This window comes from Homo sapiens, chromosome 2, assembly GCF_000001405.40.
Source record: "Homo sapiens chromosome 2, GRCh38.p14 Primary Assembly".
Classification (NCBI taxonomy): Eukaryota; Metazoa; Chordata; class Mammalia; order Primates; family Hominidae; genus Homo; species Homo sapiens.
The window spans coordinates 168,597,611-168,613,852 of NC_000002.12; the positions used below are offsets into that span (position 1 = coordinate 168,597,611).

General features: G+C 40.5%; 1 protein-coding gene and 1 pseudogene across 2 annotated transcripts in view, besides 3 other annotated features; one reads left to right on the plus strand and one right to left on the minus strand.

The window, feature by feature from the left end:
* Positions 1-16,242, plus strand: part of CERS6 (ceramide synthase 6) — a 318,863-nt gene that overhangs the window by 141,339 nt on the left and 161,282 nt on the right. The window lies entirely within an intron of this gene.
* Positions 4,014-4,063: an enhancer, noted in NCBI's record as "active region_16735". NCBI's record gives its function as "activates an Ori minimal core promoter by ATAC-STARR-seq in GM12878 lymphoblastoid cells {active_cell/tissue: GM12878}" and the evidence as "EXISTENCE:reporter gene assay evidence [ECO:0000049][PMID:35858748]".
* Positions 4,154-4,223: a silencer, noted in NCBI's record as "silent region_12081". NCBI's record gives its function as "represses an Ori minimal core promoter by ATAC-STARR-seq in GM12878 lymphoblastoid cells {active_cell/tissue: GM12878}" and the evidence as "EXISTENCE:reporter gene assay evidence [ECO:0000049][PMID:35858748]".
* Positions 5,853-6,354: an enhancer, noted in NCBI's record as "NANOG hESC enhancer chr2:169459973-169460474 (GRCh37/hg19 assembly coordinates)". NCBI's record gives its function as "activates a minimal SCP1, AML or CMV promoter by ChIP-STARR-seq in primed H9 embryonic stem cells {active_cell/tissue: H9 hESC(primed)}" and the evidence as "EXISTENCE:reporter gene assay evidence [ECO:0000049][PMID:30033119]".
* Positions 8,780-8,886, minus strand: RNU6-766P (RNA, U6 small nuclear 766, pseudogene; annotated as a pseudogene).

Below are 16,242 nucleotides of genomic sequence, written 5' to 3' on the forward strand. Positions count from 1 at the left end.
CCTTAGCTATAAGACACATCCTCCAGTTTCCCAATGATACAAAATATTCTGGGGCCACCTTGAATATGTAAAGTTTTAGAGATGAAACAATTGATATGTATATTAATAACATTAATATGTTTATTTAGACATAATGCTTTTCCTATTTACTTTCATGAAATAATTTATTCAAAGCCTGTATTTGCACCTTTGACATCATGTCTTTGTCAGAGGAGCTACCTCAGAGTCATCTAGGACAGTGTGCCAGAGTGCCTTCTCTTCCCTCCCGTCTAAATTGCATAGACTTTAATGTGTTTGGAATCCATGTAAGAAGTTATTTCTGTAAATGTTAACTCAGGCCTTAGCACTCTTTGCCTCTCTTTCAGACTTTTTTTTGTCCTTTATCTATAGGTGTATGTTGAGGATCTTCCACGTGTAACTCTTTTCTGTCCTCCCCTTAAGAGGGATCTTTAAAAGGTTTGTTTACAGTGATATCTAATACAAACAATTATGAAGTCACCACCCTAGAGATAATGCCTTAAGTATTTGTTAAATTTCTTTGCTCCCTTAGAATAGCTGCTTCCATCAGCTGACCTTCTTGAGCATCTCAAACTGGCATTGATTGAAGTTGTTTCAGATTTGAGTGTCTTCAAGGAATACTTCTTTGTTCTAAATAAAGTGCTTGAGAGAGTAGTCTATAAATAAGAGACTGTAATGACTTGAATATATGGCAACCTCGTTTTTGGGGGGAAGAGAAAACATATCTTCAGTTTATACGTGGCATAGTAATTAACCAGAGAGTTTTCTTTTTTTTTTCTTTTCCACATCTACTGGCCAAATTATTTATTTCCTTGTTATGCATTCCTATATATTTTTGATGGTAAAAAAAAATAATGGCAAGGGGCAAAAAAATAGTGGTTTACTGGAATATGGGAAATTTAAATAGCCTAATGATTATCACATGGTACTCGTAAACCCTAAATGATTAATATGTGGCAATCCAAGAATATAATGCCATCATATCTAATAAAACTACAGGATTAGTGAAAAAAAAGGTCCCAATTCCCCAACCAGTACAGAAAGAAAATTTAATAACGTAGCTTACAAGATTGTCTTCAATCTTCACTTCTGCAATATAGAGCTATCCCTTAATCTTTTTTTAATCTTAATTTGTTTAAAGTGGTGTCAAATATTGCGGTGATACAACATAGAACAATTAATATGAACATTTTCTTTTTAGAATCTGGTAAGTTTGGATAGAGTAGGTATAGAAGAATCTTACTGGAACATGGTCACAACTAATTCACCTCTCTGGAGACCTTTTCTGCCTCTCTAGCAAGAGAAACACATGTCAGAAGAGGCTCAGGAGAGGAAGCAGGCTGTGGTAATAACAGCACTTGACATTTGTGTAGCTCTGTGATTTTCAAGGAACTTTCGTGAGCATTGTTTAATTCCATCTTCACAACAATTCTGCGATGTAGGCTAGGGCATTAGAGGCATAACCTACTCTTCTGCCAACTCTGTTTTCAACATTTAAGGAAATGTTGCTTTGAAAGGTTAAGCAAATTGACTCAGGTTACCTTGCAGAGCATGGGAAAATAGGCTGCTTCTCTGGGTGGAGGAAAATTCTTGGTACAGTTGTGCTCTGTGTGGTTCTTTTCTCCCCCCAATCCTCTCACATCCTATTTCTCACTCCTTTTCCTTCCAGGGACATCTAAAACATAGTTATGAGTATATTTTTGAGGTGATTATCCTAGAAATGCTTCCCATAGTTTGTTTCTTTTTGAAGAAGGGCAGTAAATTCTTATCCTTTCTGTATTTTTCTATTTGCATTTTTTCTCTGGCCCAAAATAAGAATGCAGGTACACTTAAAGAACAAAGGAAATATCAACTCATTTTAAAACGAACATTGTCGGAGTAAATCCAACTGTGAGTGCTAGGGTTTATTATCTTGTCCTGAAAGACTTCTGAATTTAAGTAGGTTAGTAACCCCGATTAGAAAACATTGTTCTTGAGAGATAACTTCAGGAAAGAGATCATTTGTTGACATTCATTTGAGATCTGTGTAACATTTGAGAGCTTTATGTTGGTTTTATATATGCTTGAGGTTATATATATAGTTTGAGGACCATCTATCAATCCTTCCAGGTTATAAAGCACCTAATTTATTAAGAATATTGTCTTGAGCTTCACTGTGGACATTTAAATGTCACAAATATTTATGGAATTCCAAATATAAAGAGGAAGTAGGGCTGGTGATGTAGAGATGAGCTATTTGCCTTCAAGGAGGTTGATACACTAGTAGTAAGCATAAGACCAGAATGGCCTTTGATGTCAGAATCACCTGGGGGTAAAATCTGACTTCCCCTTAATAAACCTAAGAGTCATTTGACTGATGATATGGTTACAGTGATACAGTGATGCTTACCTCCTTGGGTTGTTATAGCAGCATTTGTAACTTGCACGCTGAAGGCTCTAATATATCCTGGTTTCCCTCCCCCTTCCTCCTTTCCTTTCTCTCCATGAACATTATAGGTGACAGTAGTGTCTGCTTAGTCGTGGGTAAACTATCCAACTTATTATGCTGTAAACTACCATATTTCTCTCTCTCTCTCTCTCTCTTTTTTTTTTTTTAATCGGAGTCTGGCTCTGTCGCCCAGGCTGGAGTGCAGTGGTGTGATCTTGGCTCACTGCAAGCTCCGCCTCCCAGGTTCATGCCATTCTCCAGCCACAGCCTCCTGAGTAGCTGGGACTACAGGCACCCACCACCACACCTGGCTAATTTTTTGTATTTTTAGTAGAGACGGGGTTTCACCCTGTTAGCCAGGATGGTCTCGATCTCCTGACCTAATGATCTGCCCGCCTCGCCCTCCAAAAGTGCTGGGATTACAGGCGTGAGCCACCACGCCCGGCCTGCCATACTTCTCTTAAAGCAAGAGGAAAATCCCTGAAAATCTATATCCTTGCCCCAGACCCTTTTCATATATCCCCTTAACCTAGAAGTGTTTCTGCAGTTCAACCCCTTGGCATCTCACTCACTCTGAAACCTAAAGACACCTTGATAATATTTACCTTGTGTGTTTTCCTGAGTTGTGGTTATTTGTATATTTATTCCATCTCATTTCTTGACTGGAGATTCTAGACTGTAAACATTCCTTAAAGGCATCTTTCCATTTCCTATGGTATCTAATGCAATTGCTTGTACTCATTAAATCTTAGGATTGAATTAAATTGATCTAATAGTGCCTTGGTAATGGTCACATGTAAGTGGTAGCCAAGTCTAGTTCCTACTTTTCTATGGTATTGAGCAAAGTTAACCACCACCTGATTTCTATTTACCAATAAACTACAAAATATTTTCAGTGCATCTAAAAGTATTAGATCCTAACAGACCTCATGGGTTGATGTCCACTACCCTCTAGAGCCAATGCAGAATGATTACCATAGAATCCAAGGCTTCTCTGTCAGTTTCCTCACACTCCCCACCACTCAGTACTTATTACACTTCAGCCTACGCCCTGTGATTCAACCAGGCAAATTGGATAGATGTGCACCATTTCACAAAAGTAGATAAAAATATACATTGTCAGCTGACATAACAGGTGGCTTTCTTTTACCACCTAGAATTCCATAAAAAATGTTGACACAGTCTCCCACATAAGGTCACGGCCTAATCTGGGAAACAATTTTGAACCTATCCCTGTATAATTGTGACTCTCAGTGCAACAGATCTGTTTCTCTCTGTGATGTTAACTCATGATTTAAATTAAACTTAATTTGCATTTATCAATAGTATTGCATGCTCATCTGCTGGTTGTTTGTGGACCTCTGCTTTCTGAAGACAAAGACCAATGATGAATTCTGATTAAACAGTTTCTAGCACTAGTGTTTTCATAGTCCAGCCATCTCATTTCATAGAGGAGAATGTTGAACATTCTCAGGTGGACGCCAGTTTCTTGGCCTTATCTTTTTTTTTTTTTGAGACAGTCTCGCTCTGTCGCCCAGGCTGGAGTGTAGTGGTATGATCTTGGCTCACTGCAACCTCCACATCCTGGGTTCAAGCAGTTCTTCTGCCTCAGCCTCTCGAGTACCTGGGACTACAGGCGTGTGCCACCATGCCTGGCTAATTTTTGTATTTTTAGTAGAGATAGGGTTTCACCATGTTGGCCATGTTGTTCTTGAACTCCTGACATCAGGTGATCCGCCCACCCCAGCCTCCCATAGTGCTGAGATTACAGGCATGAGCCACCTCGCCCAGCCCTCTTGGCCTTATCTTAATACCCTTAAAAAACAAATTTTATTCATAGATCTTATATTTGCATGCAGTGTTGAACTTGAAAATACAGAAGTAGAATATTTTTACATGACTTCTAGAAAAGGAAGCACAGATGAAGTAAAATTTACTGCCCTTTGAAACCACAAAAATCATAAACACCTTAAATGAAACACCAAGTCAATAAAGTTAATTTAGACAGGGTTCTGAGAGGCAGTCACTATGCTGTACACGTATTTCAGCAGTAATAGAAGAAGTGAGGGTTGCAGATAGCAAGGGTATTGCACAAATAAGCATTGGCCGATTCTTTTTTCTCTTTCTCTCTTTTAGAAGATGTAAGGGAATTGATTTTCAGTATTTTTTTCAGATCAAGTGATATTAAAAATCAGTTTAGCAAAAATTAAGGAACATATAAGTATTTAAAAAATATGTCTGAGTGCAACTAAGATAAAGATACATGAAATATTTGCCTGGTATAGGACTCTGTCTATAATTTTAGTACTTTTGCTAAATGTATAAGTACTTTAATGATGTTGGCCCATTGATAGAAGCAATAGCTTTAATCCAAGTCTTTATAGCTTTAATAAATTTTAAAAAATCACCCAGATCCACCTACCTATGTGGATAGACTTTTTACACAGGAACACGTAGTTAAATTACATTTTGGAGCAGCCAGAATTATGCAGTGTTAGTATTCAGAGAGTTTAAATGAATAATGTAGATATGTAGTTTGCTCCCAGGGAAAGAGAAGAATAATAAGTATCTATGCATGCAGAGTGGTCAGTGGGTATAAATGAACTTGAATTCATTAACCTCATGATTTGACATCAAAAACAGGGAAAAATCTGATGAAGCGAAGTTCAGGTTGGTGGTTATTTGTGTATGCATAAAGGAATGGGGTTTGGGGTTTGACCTGAGTAGCCACTCTTTGGTTCTTGGACAGTGTTTTATTCCCAGCCCCAGCCTCTCAGTCCTGAACAGGTCACCATTCAAAAATACAGGTTCCTGTAGTGCCATCATTTCAGGGAAATTCTTTGGGGGCACTGATGGAGTCTCCAAACCAGCATGAAACATGTTGCAGCTAATTTGTTCCATGAACTTAACATTTTGTGAAATGTGTAGATTATCTGCCTCTACATAGCTCAATTATCAGCATCCCTGGGTAGTGAGCCTGTAACAATGATCTTTCATTCCATGGAAGGAGAAACAGAAGCTCAGAGTTCCTGATTTCTTTATTACTCAGTTGCTGCTCCTTGGGTTTGCCCTTTAAATGTCAGGTGATGTTTGTAGCACCATGATATTTTTGCTGAGTATCTTGTCATTTTGTAAAAAGAGAAGTGGTATATGCCCCAAGGCCTCATTGGTGATGGGAAGAAATGGGACTCTCCTTTCATATTTGAACATTTCCCTTTCCAGCAGCCCCATGGAATAACCCTGAGTGACTTAGATAGCTACTTGTGCAGTGAGGGAGGTAAGTGAGGGATCTGAAAGAGCTGCTAGGCAACCCAGTGAATATTTGCAGCCTTTATGGGAAATAACTACAGAGAATGACTATCAATAGGTATGTAGGTAGATGAACATCTGGGCATTGATTCTGAAACAATTGAAAAATCAAAGGATGATTTACCTTAATAATGCCTGGATTTTACAAGAGATTTTAATGTTCATGATTAAACTGGCCGTACCAGATTTCACCGAAGCCCATTTATTGTGCATTGGCTGTAGCCTTCCCAGCAGGCATTCCAATGCTCTTTTAACATCTTTCAGATGCGGCTACAGGTGTAGCTCAGCCTCCTGGAAGGTCCTGTTCTCTCACAGCTGCCAGTGGGAGACCTGATTGTAATTATAGCTTCCATGATGCAATGTCTTTAAAACCTAAAACTATGCTACAATTGTTGGCCTAATGCCTGAAGAAACATGGCTGTTAGGAGCTTAAAGAGTCTGCTGAGGAGCCCCTTGGTCCTAAAGCCAGGTTTGTGTAAGAAATGGAGTTAGGCAGTTGAGCATAGTTTGTGGGCTGATTATGTTCTCTCTAGTCCGTAGTCTATATCCAAGTCTGTCTCTAGCTCTGAATCTCCACATCTTATTGACCTAGAGCCTGAGATCAGTAGTGAAACAATAAAAATTTTTGGTTTACTTCTGCAGTGGAATTATGGAGAACTGTTATTAGATATGATTTGATATTAAAATGAAAACGTGTTAGAAGGAAAAATGTGTTTGAGGGAGTCATTCTCAATCTGTCAGAGAAGACAAAACAAAGATTTAAATATTTTTACATTCCTTGGAGCCATCCTTAATTAAGATATACTTGATTTTAGTCCTTTTCCCTTAACCCTATTTCCTGGCTGACTTGAAAATTATAAGCAATTTCCACTGTAGGTTTTAGCTACTTGAAAGGTTATGCTTTTCAAAAACACAACTTTTGCAAGGGTATAATTCTACATTGCCACAGGAAAGTGTGTTCAAAAATATTTGTAGGGTAGGGTATGTGTGTGACAGAGACAGATTGAAGTTGAGCAGTTGTATACGTGTGTGTGTGTGTGTGTGTAGGTCAGGGGTTGGTAAACTAGGGTCAGTCAATCAAATCTGGCCTGCTGCCAGTTTTTGTATGACTTGTGAAATAAGAAGGGTGATGTGGTTTGGATCTATGTCCCCAGCCAAATCTCATGTTGAAATGTAATTCTCAATGCTGGAAGTGGGGCCTGGGGAGGTGACCGAATCCTGGGGACAGTTTCTCATGGTTTAACATCATCCCTCCTTGGTACTGTCATTGCTACAGTGAGTTCTCATGAGATCTGGTTGTTTAAGAGTATGGAGTATGTGGCACCTCCCCTCTCTCTCTCTCGCTCCTGCTTTGGCCACGTAAGATGTGCCTGCTTCCCCTTTGCCTTCTGCCATGATAGTAAGTTTTTTGAGGTCTCCCCAGAAGTAGCAGCCACTGTGCTTCCTGTACAGCCTGTAGAACCATGAGCCAATTAAACCTCTTTTCTTTATAAATTACTCAGTCTCAGGTATTTCTTTAGAGCCATGTGAGAATGGACTAATGCAGAAAATTGGTACTGAGAGTGGGGTATTGATATAAAAAATACCTGAAAATGTGGAAGCAGCTTTGGAATTGGGTAATGGGCTTCTCAGAAGAAGCCCTCCAGACTGTTCCAATGTCTGCCCATTACCCAGTTCAACAAGTCACAGGAAGATGAGGAAAGTTTGGAACTTCCTAGAGATTTGTTGAATGGTTGTGATCCAAATGCTGATAGTGATATGGACAAAGATGGCCAAACTGATGAAGTCTCAGACGGATATGAGGAACTTATTGGGAACTGGAGCAAAGGTCACTTTTGTTATTCTTTAGCAAAGAACTTTGAGGCATTGTGATGCTGCTAGGCATCTGTGGAACTTTGAACTTGAGAGTGATGGTTTAGGGTATGTGGTGGAAGAAATTTCTAAGCAGCAAAGCATTCAAGATGTAGCCTGGCTGCTTCTAACATCCTGTGCTCATATGTGTGAGCAAAGAAATGATATCCAATTGGAACTTACGTAATATTTAAAAGGGAAGCAGAGCATAAGAGTTTGGAAAATTTGCAGCCTGGCCATGTGGTAGAAAAGAAAAGCCCATATTCAGGGGAGGGATTCAAGCAGGCTGCAGAAATTTGCATAGATAAAGAGGAGCCTAGTGCTAACAGCCAAGACCATGGGGAGAAGGCCTCAGAGGCATTCATGGCACCCCCTCCCATCACAGACCAAGAGTCCTAGGAGTGGAAGAATGGTTTCCTGGGCTAGGCCCAGGACCCTGCTTCCCTGCCTTGGGACACTGCTCCCTACATCCCAGCTGCTCCAGCCATGGCTCAAAGGGGCCCAGGTACAGCTTGAGATGTTGCTTCAGGGCTGCCAGTCATAAGCCTTGGTAGCTTCCTCTTGGTGTTAAGCCTGCAGGTGCACAGAGTGTAAGAGTTAAGGCTTGGGGGCCTCCACCTAGATTTCAGAGGATGTATAGAAAAGCCTGGATGTCCAGGCAGAAGCCTGCTGCAGGGACAGAGCCCTCATGGAGAACCTGTACTAGGGCAGTGCAGAGGGGAAATGTGGGGTTAGAGCCCCCACACAGAGTCCCCACTGGGGCACTGCCTAGCATTACTGTGAGAAGAGGGCCACTGTCCTCCAGACCCAAAATGGTAGATCCACCAGCAGCTTGGACCCTGCACCTGGAAAAGCTGCAGTGCTCACTGCCAGCCCTGGAGAGCAACTATGGGGACTGAGCCCTGCAAAGCCACAAGGGGTGGAGCTGCCCAAGGAAGGCCTGGGGAACCAACTTCTTACACCAGTGTGCCCTGGATGTGAGACATGGTGTCAAAGGAGATTATTTTGGAGCTTTAAGATTTAATGACTGCCCTCCTGGGTTTCAGACTTGTATAGGGCCTGTATCCCCTTTCTTTTGGCTAATTTCTCCCTTTTGGAATGGAAGTATTTACCCAATGCCTATACCACCATTGTATCTTGGAAGTAACTAACTTGTTTTTGTTGTTGTTGGTTTTAAGTATGGAATGGTTCAAGAGTTTGTGTCTCATCCTTGTGCAGGGGCCATGCTAATGTTCTCTGGATCCTTCCTGTTTTAGTATATTTGCTGCCAAAGTGAGCACACTAAGTTGTTTTTTATTTTACAGGCTCATAGGGAGAAGGAATTAGCCTTGTCTCAGTTGAGACTTCATACTGTGGTCTTGAGTTAATGATGGAATGAATTAAGACTTTGGGGGACTGTTGGGAAGGTATGATTTTATTTTGAAATGTGAGAAAAACATGAGATTTGGAAGGGGCCAGGGGCAGGTTGATATGGTTTGGATCTCTGTACCCACCCAAATCTCATACTGATATGTAATCCCCATGCTGGAGGTGGGACCTGGTGGAAGGTGATTAGAAAATCATGGGGTTGGTTTCTCTTGGTTTAACATCATCTGCCTTGGTACTGTCATTGCAATAGTGAGTTCTCATGAGATCTGGTTGTTTAAAAGTGTGTGGCACCTTCCCCCTCTCTCTCTTGCTCCTGCTCTGGCCATGTAAGATGTGCCTGCATCCCCTTTGCCTTCTGGCATGATTGTAAGTTTCCTGAGGCCTCTCAAGAAGCAGATGCTGCTGTGGTTCCTGTACAGCCTGTAGAACCATGAGCCAATTAAACCTCTTTTCTTTATAAATTACCCAGTCTCAGTCATTTCTTTATAGCAATGCAAGAATGGACTATTACAATGGGTTTTTACATTTTTAAATGGTTATATTTTACATTTTTAAATGGTTTTTACATTTTTAAATGGTTATATAAACACTTACATAATATCCTTAGTTTTTCTTCTTGGTGCACAAATCCTAAAATGTTTACTAACTGGCCTTCTAGAAAAAATTTACTAACCCTTGGTATAGGGAATAATGTTGCAACATCTTTCCTTACTTTGATTATAAGAGATAATTCATTACTTTTTAAAAAAACTCTTTTAAGTTACTCTTCCCAGTAATCAAAACTAGTATATCTTTTTTTTGTTTGTTTATTTGTTTGAGACGGAGTCTTGCTCTGTTGCCAGGCTAGAGTGCAGTGGCATGATCTCAGCTCACTGCAACCTCCAACTCCCTGGTTCAAGCGATTCTCCTGCCTCAGCCTCCCAAGTAGCTGGGATTACAGACACATGCCACTATGCCCGGCTAATTTTTGTATTTTTAGTAGAGACGGGGTTTCACCATGTTGGCCAGGATGATCTCGATCTCCTGATCTTGTGATCCGCCTGCCTCGGCCTTCCAAAGTGCTGGGATTACAGGCGTGAGCCACTGTGCCAGGCCAAAACTAGTATATCTTAATAGAAATGTTTTATGTTTTTGCAGTCTTTTCAGGGGTTAATAAAGAAAGTATAAAAGGTTTGCTGCAAAATTTTAAATCAATCAGTAGTCATTACAATATATTTTGGAAGCATACAAAGAGAAGAGAATTACAAAATACCCTCCCCATATGAAGGAGTTGGCTCTGGGCTCACACGGAATGGAACATTACCTCAGTGTTTGCTTCTATCATGAAATATCTTGAGTATCAGTTATCTGTTCTTTAATGTATGTTCCATCCTTCTGAATGCATCAGAGAGAGAACCTCAGTTGTGAGCTGAGTTCCCTGTGGAGCAAACAGAGCAACTGTGGACAGGCCATATGCTTTCACTCCCTTGTACTCCCAGTCCCAGGCAACCACCACTAATCTATTTTCTGTCGCAATAGATTTGCCTTTTCAGAACATTTCATATAAGTGGAATCACCCAATATGTGGTATTTGTGGCTAACTTCTTCCACTTGGCATAATGCTTTTGAGTTTCATATAGCTCAGAGAATATATGAGTGCTTCATTTGAATGGATATACCTCACTTTGTTTATCCATTCACCATTGAGTGGGTATTTTTCATTGTCTTTGCTTTTTGGCTACTATGAATAATGCTGCTGTGAACATTCGGATAGAAGCCTTTGCCTGGACATGTCTTCATTTCTCTTGGGCAGCTACCTAAAAGAGAAATTGCTTACTGAGTCATATGATAAATTCACATTTAGAGATATGAAATATGAACATGAATATCTAAGAAATTATCAAACTTTCTAAGATACACCATTTCATCTTCCCACCAGCAGTGTATTGGGGTTCCAGTTTCACTGCATCCTCAAAAACATTGCTATTATCTCTTCAATTATAGCCATTCTAGTGGGGTGTGAAGTGATATCTCATTATAGATTTAATTTTTATTTCCCTGTTGAATAATGATGTTGCATTATCATTTGATTATTGGTAATTTATGTATTGGTAGATATCTGTTTAGATCTTTTGCACATTTTAAAGTTGTGTTTATTTTTGTACTATTGAGTTTTAAGAGTTCTTTATACAAATCCTTTGTGGGTTTAATGACTTGCAAACATTTTCCCCTAGTCTATGGCTTGCCTTTTATTTATGGTATCTTTTGAAGGGCAATGCATTTTGAAACATGAGTTATGAATTCATAACATAGAAGAGATTTCCAATATTTTTTTCTCATGTTGATTATTTTATTCCAAAGCTGAGATTTGTAGGAGTTTGTGGAACTCCTCCAATGAGTCAGTGTCAGGGTTGGTCACCTCTTTAGATAGTTTGAATATTTTGGATACCCACACAATGCTAGAGCTCTAGGCAGTGCCAGGTTTACCTGCTGCCTGTATCTTTTTACTTCATTTTCCATTTAGGGTGCATCTGTCAAAGGTGACTTCAAGGGCATCAGTAGGGAGAGGTTATCTTGGATGGTTGGTTCTATCTCAAGCCTAGCCTGGAAATTTCTTACTGATTGCCTCCCCACCTACCCACTGCAGTCTTAAACTCTTGGGCTCAAGGGATCCTCCCGCTTCAGCCTCCCAAGTAGCTGGGACTGTGAGTAGTCACCACCCCTGGCCTCCCTTCTTTTATAAGTTTACAAACTTTAAAAAAATCTTATGATGAAATCTTTGACAGTGGGATGGATTACATTTCCTTTTTGTTGTTTCTCAAAGTATGAACATTGATGTGCCTTTATTGTGCTTTTTACTAGAAGAGGAAAGATAAATATAAGAATATAGTTCATTCTTGATAAATGTTTCATAATGTCAAGAATCTTTTCGCTCCAAGTCCTTTTTAGGTTCAGAACAATACCAGAAAGGGCCTGGTCACCCTCAGCTCCTATGTCCATGAGCTCTTCCTCCACTGCCATGGAGTGGGGACCTTCATACCTTTAATGACAGTCCCCTGTTGAGAGCCACTGAAGCCTTGCCCATTTTTCCCTGCTCTGTGTTACCCTAAAGTCTTGAGAGGATTTGGACATTGGGAAAACTACTTAGCTCTCAGGAACTTTCTTTGAGGTTTGTATTCTGCCTTGTTCTCTTCGGCCTCTCTACTCAACCACTCTTTCCTTGCCGCTTACCCAGAGAAGGGGTGAGAAGGGACACCATCTCTGTTTTAACAGGGCTTAACAGGTTTGATGTGGAAAGACTGAGTTCTCCAGGCTTTTTTTTCCCAGTGACACTAGGGCAGGTTGACCTTGAAAATAGAGGTAACTCCAAATATTGTCACAAGCTGGGAGTGAAGACAAAAGATGTGACTGTTTTTTTTTTTTTTTTTTTTTGAGATGGCATCTCGCTATGTTGCCCAGGCTGGAGTGCAGTGGCGCGACCTCGGCTCACTGCAAGCTCTGCCTCCCGGGTTCATGCCGTTCTCCTGCTTCAGCCTCCCAAGTAGCTGGGACTACAGGCGCCCACCACCACGCCTGGTTAATTTTTTGTATTTTTAGTAGAGACGGGGTTTCACCATGTTGGCCAGGATGGTCTCGATCTCCTGACCTCATGATCCACCCACCTCGGCCTCCCAAAGTGCTGGGATTACAGGCGTGAGCCACCACTCCCGGCCGACTGATTTTTTTTAGAATAGGTAAGGCTTCCTTAGATTTACAGCTGTTGCCCATCCATCGGGAAGCAGCTTTGGAGATTAGCTTGTCAGCCCCTTGAGGGAAGGACTTTGACTTAATTCATATTTATATTCCCAGCACCTAGTAGTATGTCTTGGTATTTACTAAATCCTCGGTATATCTTAATGAATGGCCATCCAGTTGTTAGCATAATAACAAATAGAATGTATTTGATTTGATTTCATTTTTATTTGGTAGATATTTTCCAAACGGAGAACTGAGCAAAAGTTCATTAGATTATTATTTAATAATTTAATGCAAGAGTGAATTTTCCCTATGAAAATTCTATGCTTCAGGAAAGCAGACTTTCATTCTATATGGAATATAGTTTAGAGTGTAAGAAGAGTAGACCATCCCACCCATCTCTGCCACATACTATAGTTATACTGTTAAAGAGTTTAAAGCACAGGTTGTGAACTGGTAGCCCCAAGTTGAATCTAGCCTGCACGATTTGGCCTGTGTGATTTTTATTTTTTATTTATTTATTTTTTGAGTCAGAGTCTTGCCCTGCCGCCTAGGCTGGAGTGCAGTGGTGCAATCTCGGCTCACTGCAACCTCCGCCTCCCAGATTCAAGCAATTCTCATGCCTCAGCCTCCAGAGTAACTGGAACTACAGGCACACACCACCATACCTGGCTAATTTTTTGTATTTTTAGTAGAGACGAGGTTTCACCATGTTGGCCAGGCTGGTCTCGAACTCCTGACCTCAGGTGATATGCCCACCTCAGCCTCTCAAAGTACTGGGATTACAGACATGAGCCAGTGTGCCTGGCCTGATTTTTATTTTTAATAGGATTAATCACCAGCATCTAAAAAGTCTGATGTCTTATAAAACATCAGATTTTCAGCTTTCTGTGAAAAAATGGGGAAAATCTGACAACACTTGAGTTTGCATTCTTTCTTGACATTTGACCAGCCCTTATTTCAGTGGGGTATTGAAATAGCCACATTCCCCAGCATTATCAGCATAGAAACTGTGTGCCAATAACCATTCATCTCAGTACTCTGAGAGCCAAGTTTAACCAGCTCCTCAATTGCCTTAACCTGCCTAGACCCTGTAGAGATTTAAGTTTGCAACTTTTGTTTAGAGACTCAGTTTAAAGGTCTTACATGATGACTTTGAAGGTTAGATTATTTAATTTTGTGGCTATAAAATACCAGAATACAAAAAGATTTTAAAACCCATGAATAAACATACTTACTTTGTTCATCTGTACATCTTCATTGGTCGATTTATCCGTGTATCATGTCTTATTTATAACACCACATTGCCATGGAAATTCACTGCTGTACTTTTCACTTTCCAGCCCTACTAAATTTTACACTTAACATTTTCAGAGCTGCTTGTACAAAGTACAGATTTAGTTAGTAGCAATCTCAAGTGGTTTTATAATATTAAACATTAAATAACTTTAAAAATGCAAACAAGGGAAAAGTAAGAAGTCAGCCAAATCCTGACACATAAATTTAACAAAAAAGCAACACAGAGTCTCTCATTTACGTGACGTACTGCTTAACCACTTTGTAAGAATGAAGCCCTCCTTCATTCTACACTTGTGTCTTCTTCAAATCTAATAGGAGATGTCTGTCCTAGAGTCATATTGTAGTTGGTAGTTTGTCTAGCCATTGGCACTGGCCCATACTCATGAAACTTGAAGTCATTTATTGGGTGTACGTCATAAGCCAGCTATATAAAAATAGTAATGATAGTTAAGAGTTATGGAGCCCTTGCCATGTGTTGAATGCTGTTCTACATACTTTACAAGTATTGCCTCATTTAATCCTCATTCTAACCCTTTGATGTAGGTGGTTTTATTTTCATTTTGCAGATGAGAAAGAGGCATAGGGAGTGCCCAGGATCAAACAGACTGTGTGAAATTGTGGAGGAAGTCTTCATGCCCAGGCTGAGTGAACATAGCTTCCTGAGAGCCAGTCCTACGTAGAAGATTTAAGACACAGATCTTTCACTCAGAGTTGAAAATTTCCAACTGATTGTTGGTCACTTAAAGGATGACTAATAACATATGTTGTCTTAATGTTAGAACAATATCTTATGGGGATAAACACTTCTTGGGAGGTGGAGACCAGAGAAAACCGCAGGAGGATCATGAAAGGTTGAGATGGACGAAGAAGAAAACTCAGGGTTAAGGCTTTTTTGTGTTGTTTTGTTTAATTCACATATGGTGAAACAAGAATGAGATTTATCTAGTCTCCCTAAAGAGGTTATCCCAGGCTAGGCCAGAGCAACAGTTGATTAGCTTTACCCAACTAAGAAAAGGGTGGAGGCACAGAGACATCATATGGGTTGCCTATTGCAGAGATTTTGAGTTTCAGGTTGGCTGAGAATATTAAAGCACTGGGGGATTAGGAGTGTTGGCCTCTGGATATGTAAGAATTGCTCTTTGGTGACAGTGCCTTAGGCCATCTGTCTGAACAGCACTTCTTAAGATCTCAAACTCCTCTTGTTCTTTTTCTGTGTTTTGCAAGCAACCTCCTGTGTAGATTTTTCTGCAGGAGGAGTAACTCTCATTCATGTCAAAGCAAATAGTCTGGACTTTGTGACTGCTCTGTCATGATTAATCAATTGACAGCCTGGCTTACAGGTCTGGCTGTGGCACTCAGCTAATGCCAGCCTACCTCTTGAAGAAAGGTAAAGACTAGGTGTGTTGGGCTGGGGAAGAGACTGAGGGAATGGAGCAAAGGAAGTAAATGAAACGGATATTTCCAATGCAGAACTTTGAGGTTTGATGCCTGGGATAAAGGGGGGTTGAAGGCGAAGGAAGACTCAAGGACCTGGGACATTGAGTGAATAATAGTGTCCTTGACAGAGATGGAAGGAAGAAACAGTGGATTCCTGGGAGAAAGATAATATGTTTTGTTTGTTTTTGGATTTTGAGCCTCAGGTGCCGACGTTTGGGTGTCCAAATGACATTGGGTGTCCAGGGATATAGAGATGGTTAGAGGCAGTGATTGCCCAGCATACAGGGAGTGGGTGAGTTCACCTAGCAGGAGCACGTGGTGTGAAAAGAAGGCTGAGGATGGAACCCCAGGTGTCACTGGCATTGACAGACCAAGGGTGGTCTGTGCACAAGGCAAGAGAAGCAGAGGGTTGGGACAGAAAGGGAATGAGCACAGCAGCAGTGATCCAAACAAGGTGGAATGGCCAGTTGTGTCAAATATTGCAGGATCAAGATACAAGACTTAATTAATATAGGACTTGGACTCAAAATATAAGAGTTCAAGAGAACTTAACGGTCTGATTGTTTCTCCAGAAGAGACACTTAAACTTGCCCAGGATCACCCTGTGAGTATCATAGGTGTAAACACTGTTGCTACAGTGTTTCCTGCTTGGCAACCTCATGATCTCATGTTCACCCATTGTTTCATGCTGCTCATTTTCTAAGTATAGCTTTACAGTCAATATGTAATACCATGTAATAGTGGCTAGGACCAGAAATCATGATGCTCGGTTCAAGTGGGCAGCTCAGTCTCACTGTCTTCCCATGCTCTTAGTGAAA